General features: G+C 42.3%; 2 annotated features.

Annotated features, from left to right (window-relative positions):
- Window positions 5,230–5,729: an enhancer, noted in NCBI's record as "H3K4me1 hESC enhancer chr7:132456367-132456866 (GRCh37/hg19 assembly coordinates)". NCBI's record gives its function as "activates a minimal SCP1, AML or CMV promoter by ChIP-STARR-seq in primed H9 embryonic stem cells {active_cell/tissue: H9 hESC(primed)}" and the evidence as "EXISTENCE:reporter gene assay evidence [ECO:0000049][PMID:30033119]".
- Window positions 5,730–6,231: an enhancer, noted in NCBI's record as "H3K4me1 hESC enhancer chr7:132455865-132456366 (GRCh37/hg19 assembly coordinates)". NCBI's record gives its function as "activates a minimal SCP1, AML or CMV promoter by ChIP-STARR-seq in primed H9 embryonic stem cells {active_cell/tissue: H9 hESC(primed)}" and the evidence as "EXISTENCE:reporter gene assay evidence [ECO:0000049][PMID:30033119]".

The following is a 7,884-nucleotide window of genomic DNA, read 5'->3' as shown; positions in this document are numbered from 1 at the left end:
AGAGGGAAGGGAGCTGGCCAAGAGGAATGTGAGAGAATGGCCACTGAGGTGAGAGACAACCGACTCAGACATGGAGACCAAGGGAAGGGAGCATTTCAAGAAAGGAGGAATGGCCAGCTGTACTAAGTGCTACTGATGGGTTGAGAAAGATGACCGCAGAATTAGCCAGTGAACTTGGCAACATGAAAGTCACTTGATGGGCAGGTGGTGACTGGGGAGAATGAAAGCCTGGTCAGAATGGGGTTGAAGAAAGAATGAGTTTGGAAAATGAAGACAGTGAGCAGCAGCAACACTTTTTTTTTTTTTTTTCTGAGACGGTGTCTTGCTCTGGCACCCAGGCTGGAGTGCAGTAGTACAATCTTGGCTCACTGCAACCTCCGCCTCCTACGTTCCAGTGATTCTGGTGCCTCAGCCTCCCAAGTAGCTGGGACTACAGGCATGCGCCACCAGGCCCAACTAATTTTTGTATTTTTCAGTAGAGACAGGGTTTCACCATGTTAACCAGGCTGGTCTTGAACTCCTGACCTCAAGTGATCCACCTGCCTCGGCCTCCCAAAGTGCAGCATTTTAAAGAAGTTTTGCTTAAAGGGCGAGTAGAGAGGGAAGTAGGTAGAAGAAATGTGGGCTCCTCAGGAGATTTCTTTTTAAGATTGAAGATACAGTCCATTTTATATGGAAAAAAGCAGAAAAAGAGGATAAGTTCAGTTGAAAGTCCTTGAGTAGGCTAACTGGCTGGGATCTAGGCTTAAACAGAGCAGGGAGAGTTTATCCATTGTAAATAGAAGAAAAGTTGAGTTTATGAGCATAAATGCAGGCAGGCTGGTGGATGGTCCTGAGAGGATGAGGTCATTCTCTTCTGATGGCTTCCATTTTCTGATCAGCCATGTGGCATGTCCCAAGTTAATGTTTGCTAGCAATAATTAAAAGTAGCTGAGTGCCTTCCTTTTCTCACTGCCTTTCTTCCTTCCTGAATAACTCAGTCCAAAAGCCCTTAGGTAGAGCCAAGCAAGGTAGTCCCCCACGCAGGGGATGAGGGGGGTGGCGGCCAAGACTGGGATGCCTGAGCCTGAGCAGGAAGAGAAGGGTGTCCATTCGTGGTGCGAGAACCTGAGTGATGGGAGGAGGGTGGTTGTGTTGGCTGGGGAAAGAAGGGTGGCTCTAGAAGTGGAAGAGTAATGACATGCAGAGGACACTGATCTAATAATAAACATATTGAGGATAATGAGAGCCAGTTTTCTGATTGTCAGATAAGGAAGTTACAAATACGGAAAGGGAGAAATTAAAATGACCTCTGTAGCATTGGTTTGGAATTGGAGATATTGAAGTGAAATTGTGGTGATAGCTAGATACTGAAACAAATATATATATATTTATTTCAGTATATATAAAGGATATATAAATATATATAAAAATGCATGCACATTTATATGTATCTATTCATACTCATATATTATGCACATATGTATGTATGAATGTACATTCATTCAGATATTCCTTAGATCCGTCATCGAGAGGAGCTGGGAGCAACAGCATTCTAATAGCAAAGAGCTCACCATATGCCCAGATCTTTGATCTAAACACCATCTTTCACTAGAAAGGAACCATAGCTTCTTGAAGAAATGGCTAAGCCCTAGGCAGGAAAAAATACAAGATGGGAACATACCGAAAGGGCAGTGCCATCTTGAAGGGGCTATCACTGGCCCCAACTTGGGCAGATTTAACCCACTGAGTAACAAAGGAATGGTCCAAACTGATATCATGGGTCAATGCTAATATAATAAATAATTAATAAATAAAAGGAGAAAGGAGAAATCTTTCCCTTAGTATAGAATGCAAACTAATAAATGTTAAAGGAGTGATATATTTATGAAATTATTATTTGACAACCACCATAGTAATAATTCAGCCAAGAAACATCAATTGCATGTTAAAACTAGGGGGCTACTCTTCTGAGGAACAGGATGGATGTTTACATGTTAAATTCCCTTCCAACTCATGAACTACAAAACTAAACAGAGTAAATTCTTACAAAGAAGAAACCTGACAGACACCACCTAAATCAAGTGATCAACATTAACATGACCAGGAATGGGCCACATCAAAATGTGATAGGATGCAGTGAGAACACAGCAGCGGTGCTTCTGAGACTGTCCCACCAAAAGGATAGCATGAATCTAATCATGAGGAAAACATCAGACATGCCTGAGGGAGGCCCAGTCTACAAAATAGCTGGTCTGTAACTTCTGAAGTGTCAAAATCATGAAAGTCACGGGAAAAAGTCTCAAAGAACTGGTCCAAATTGAAGAAAACTAAAGAGACACAATGAAATACAATACGTGATCCTGGACTGGATCCTTTTTGCTATCAAAGACATCACTGGGACAATTGCCAGAACGTGAACAGTGTCTGTAGACTCGATGATAGTAATATAGCAATGTTATTTATTTGCTTATTTTGAGGATTGTATGGTTGTTATAGAGGAGATTGTTCTTGTTTGGGGTATTTGGGGCTGATGGGGTATCATTTTGGCAATTCACTGTCAAATGGTTCAGGAAGAAAAGTTTGTACTATTCTTGAAACTTTTCTGTAAGTTTAAAAGCATTTCAAGATAAAAAAAGAATTACATGTTTTAAAAAGCAGCAAAGGTAAAAGAAGTTTACTTTAAAAAATGAATTGAATGCTATGACATTCTTAAAGAGCTAGATGCGAAGGCTTGCTCTACTAGAGTCATTATAATAAGTTACCACAATTAAAAGAGTGAAATGATATGGAATTGATGGATGGGACAGAATAGAGAGTTCAGAAACTGACCCATGCATATGTGGTTGGTTGATTTATGATGAAGTTTGTGCTTCAGGTCAGAGGGGAGAGAATGGTCTTTAAAAAAAATGGTGCCAGCTCAGTTAGATGTCCCCATGGAAAAAGAGGAAAACTGGACCCTCTCTTACTCCATACTTGAAAGTCAATTTCAATTGGAGTATCATTTAAATGAGTAAACACCAAAACTTCTAGAATATAGTATAGAAGAATAGCTCCATAACCTCAGTGTAAGGAACTGTTTCTTAAACAGCATACGAAAAAACACTACCCATAAGGGAAAATGCTGATAAATTGTATTCCTTTAAAATGGAGAATTTTTGTTCATCAGGACATTATGAAGAGAATGAAAAGGCAAGCCTTAAGACGAAGATATTTGTGAAACAGCCAACAAAAGGTCATATCCAGAATATATAAAAAAGGCCTATAAACCAGTAAGAAAAAGACAGCTGAATAGAAGAATGGGCAAGAGACTGAAATAAGCACTTCACACAAAAAAACGTAAATGACCAATAAGCTTATGAAATGTACTCCATGGAACTGCTAATTAGGGAAATGCAAATTAAATTCACAACGAGATGCTACCATTTGTCCTGTGACGTGGCAAAAATGTAAAAGATGGAAAATAGCGTTGACAAGGATATGAAGCAACTAGCTTCTAATACATTGCTGGTAAGATTATAAATTGGTACAGCCAATTTGGAAAATGATTTGACATTTTCTATGAAAGCCGAATCTATACATAACTTATGACTCAGCAATACCATTTCTAGGTACATACTTAGTGTTCAGTAGCATTATTCATACTAGCTACAGAGTAAAAACAACCAAATGTGCATCATAGTAAAACTGATTAAATATATTTAGGCATCTGGAATATGATGCAATCATACGGATGACTGATTTATGGCTACACATAAAAACACAGATGATTCTTACAGTGTTGAGCCAAAGAAGTCAAATACTAAAGAATGAATATTGTGTAATTGCATTCATATAAATTTTTTAAGGCAGAAAAAGGATAGTTTTTAGAGATGGATGCTTATGCAGTAAAACTTATGAGAAGTAAAGAAGTGTTACCATATATGGACGGCAGTTACCTTTCTTGGGGTTGGAGGGTGTCCTGATTGGAAGGGGACACTAATGGGATTTCTAGGGTCTTGCTACTATTCTGTCTCTTTGCCTGAGTGGTGAATGGGTGTATTTCATTTATGAGAATTCATTATCTGTACATTTGTTTTCTGTACTTCACTGTATTTTATACTTCGGAATAAAAAGGATTCAAAATAAATTCAAACAGGTTCAGGGTTATTCCTATGACAAAGTCATTTCCACTCCCTTGATAATACCTACCTGAAACTGACATTTGGTGAGGGCTATTCTGTGCCAGCCACTGTGTTAAGCATCTCAATATCTCCTGTTGCCATCTGGGCACGGTGGCTCACGCCTGTAATCCCAGCACTTTGGGAGGCCGAGGCAGGTGGATCACTTGAGGTCAAGAGTTCGAGATCAGCCTGACCAACATGGCAAAACCCTGTCTCTACTAAAAATACAAAAATTAGCCAGGCACGGTGGCTCACGCCTGTAATCCCAGCACTTTGGGAGGCCGAGGCAGGTGGATCACTTGAGGTCAAGAGTTCGAGATCAGCCTGGCCAACATGGCAAAACCCTGTCTCTACTAAAAATACAAACATTAGCCAGGCACGGTGGCTCACGCCTGTAATCCCAGTACTTTGGGAGGCCGAGGCAGGTGGATCACTTGAGGTCAAGAGTTCGAGATCAGCCTGACCAACATGGCAAAACCCTGTCTCTACTAAAAATACAAAAATTAGCCAGGCATGGTGGCTCACGCCTGTAATCCCAGCACTTTGGGAGGCCAAGGCAGGTGGATCACTTGAGGTCAAGAGTTCGAGATCAGCCTCACCAACATGGCAAAACCCTGTCTGTACTAAAAATACAAAAATTAGCCAGGCATGGTGGCTCACGCCTGTAATCCCAGAACTTTGGGAGGCCGAGGCAGGTGGATCACTTGAGGTCAAGAGTTCGAGATCAGCCTGGCCAACATGGCAAAACCCTGTCTCTACTAAAAATACAAACATTAGCCAGGCATGGTGGTGTGCACCTGTAATCCCAGCTACTTGGGAGACTGAGGCAGGAGAATTGCTTCAACCCGGGAAATGGAGGTTGCAGTGAGCCAAAATTACGCTACTGCACTCCAGCCTGGGTGACAGAGTGAGACTCCATCTAAAAAAAAAAAAAAAAAAAAAGTGCAATAATCCTATAAATTAGGTATTTTTATTATTCTTATTTTGCAGGTAAGAAAACTGAGGCTTGGAGGGATTAAATAACCTGCTAAGGGTCATACAGTGCGTAAACAACGCAATCTGCCCTCCCTAGAAGTCTGGCTCTTAACTGTTGCATGAGCTCCTCTCTATCCAAGCCCCACCTTGACACTAGATCTTTAGGACAACCCTTGTTATAAACCTCCAAGTTCCCCCCATCCCCACGGTGTCCGGTACAGTGCATTTGTCCAGGACAAGCCTTCAATAAATGTTGAGTTGAATGAAGGAATAAAAGCCCCATCATTTTCGTCGGCTTTCTCTCGTGTACTGGGTGCAGTAGCACAAAATATCTTGTCTGTGCAAAGTTACTGAGATTTTGAGCAGAGGAAAAATAACTGGAGAACCTCCTGCCTGTGGCTGATGCTAATTTTGCTCACTGGGGTCTGTCAGGCAAATTCCCCACTTCCTTTTTTGCTTTCCCTGAGCTCCAAGACATCTGCCTAACTCCATGGTGTTCCCCCGCTCGGCCTGCCACCCAGGAAGTGGTAGAGGGGGAGACACAGCCAGGCTGTGTGCGCGTGCACTGCTTCTGCCTCCGGAAGGTCCCAGGTGCAACCACTCAGCAGGCCCCAGGTGGGCCACCAGGGTGCAGGGCACAGAGCCCAGCCATTCTAAATAAAACTCCAAGTCCATGTGGTTGCTGGGTTTTCAAGGTCTTCTGAGGCAAAAAGAGTTTGGAAGGAAAGTGACTGTCGGTCTGGAACTTTCAGGCCCCATTCAGTGGAGATTTGTTACTGGTACATTGGCTTTGGAGCTGGAGCTGCTCATGAATGCAGATACAAAGCAGATGGGTGGGGCTCCATGCAAAGTCACCAGCTCAGCCTTTGAGCCTGCCTTTGCTGAGCACCCTCTTCCTGTTGCTAGTAGATTAAAAATAAACAACTGCAGAAAAGAGAAAATCAAACTTCGAGAACTCTACACGTACTCTCTTGAACATTTTTAATTTTGTTTTGTGTTTTTGAAACACAGTCTTGCTCTTTCACCCAGGCTGGAGTTCAGTGGCATGATTTTGGCTCACTGCAACCTCTACCTCCCAGATTCAAGCGATTCTCCTGTTTCAGCCTCCTGAGTAGCTGGGATTACAAGTGCCCGCCACCACGCCTAGCTATGAACATTTTTTTAAGAGACAGTCTTGCTTTGTCACCCAGGCTGGAGTGCAGTGGTGCGATCATAGCTCACTGCAGCTTCAAACTCCTGGCCTCAAGCAATTCTCCTGCCTCGGCCTCCCAAAGCACTGGGATTACAGGTGTGAGGCACCATGCAGGGCCCCTTGCTGGACAATTTCAACCATAATTTCAAGTTGCCCAAAACACCTATTTATTTATAATTCTCCCGCCTATCCCTCAACTCTCCCCAACTGACTCCTCTTCCTCTTGACTTTATGACACCCTACTCACTCATCACATGTTTGTGTCATCTGGGCTTAAAGTCTAAGGTTCATGGACTCCCCCCCCCCCATCCACCTGATCTTACCAGCCCTTGGATACCATCAATTTGGCCCAGACAGCCTTTTAGAGCCAGGAGAACTTGGGTCAATTCTTGGTTTTATAGACATCTTAAAGCCACATTAGTAATGTCCTTAAAGTGAGGATTACTAGGCACTTTGAAGGTTATAGGCAGTCTGTAATATCCTTCAGGAAGATCGCTATAAATCTGTAGAGAGTGGTATAAAAGGGTCAAGTCTCTTCCAGTTCTTTTTCCATAATCTCTTGCCCTAGACAGTAGTAAATAATGTTCGCTGTGGCTTATCCAAGCGTTAATGCCTTCCTTAGTGACAGACCTTGAGTTTGTCCAAGTAGCAGATGGACAAGTGTTTCAGGGGAAAGGAGATCCCCTTCCCAGACCCAGGGATGAATCCTGGTTAACTTAAGCCAATCATAGTAATTCAACTTCCCTTGCCAGTGATTGGCTCAGGAGTGGGCATGTGACATGATTCTAGCCAATGACTTGTGAAGAAAGTCTGCTGAGTGCTTCTGGGAAAGTTAAAAGGGGGCACTAGTGATGCCAGGTTGTGTTTCCCCTGATGGCCTTTGATGTGTGAGTGTACAAGACCTGGAGCTTTGGTGACCACCTTGTGAACATGGAGTGACAGGTCTGAGTACAGAAACTGAGGCATGGGGGATGGGAAGAATCTATGGGTTTTTTTTTTTTGTATTGTTGAGCTGCTGAATTAATCAGTTAAAACTGTTCTACTATTAGACTTCTTATTACAAGAGGCAATACATTTTTTCTTTTTCTTATGTTGGATTGGGTTTGCTGTTATTGTTAGCTGAAACCTCCTAACTGATACATCTGCATTCAACAAAGAGGTGCTCTCCCTCTCTCACTCCTATTCTCTTTCCATCATTAGGGATCCAACTTCAGGCTAGCAGGGACATGGTTTTTTAGTGATGTCTTCATAATCTCTTACCGGAATCCCTGTCTCATCAAATGCCTGGTCAAGGTTAAGCTTCTAATTTCTAGTCATGGAATAGAACAGTGTTAAATGAAGAAGTCCTCAGCCAGGCATATCAGAATCACATGGGAAATGGGAAAGGATCTGAATAGACGTTTCTCCAAAGAAAATATACAAATGGCCATAAGGACATGAAAAGATGCCCAACATCACTAATCATTAGGGAAATATGAATTAAAACTTCAATGAAACACCAATTCACAACCACTAAGATGGCTATGATTTTTAAAAAAAGAACAATAACAAGTGCTGGTGAAGACACGGGAAAGT

The sequence above is a fragment of the Homo sapiens genome, chromosome 7 (genome assembly GCF_000001405.40).
Source record: "Homo sapiens chromosome 7, GRCh38.p14 Primary Assembly".
Taxonomy (NCBI): Eukaryota; Metazoa; Chordata; class Mammalia; order Primates; family Hominidae; genus Homo; species Homo sapiens.
Note: the sequence above shows the minus strand (reverse complement) of the source record. Positions and strands in the feature narration are given on the sequence as shown.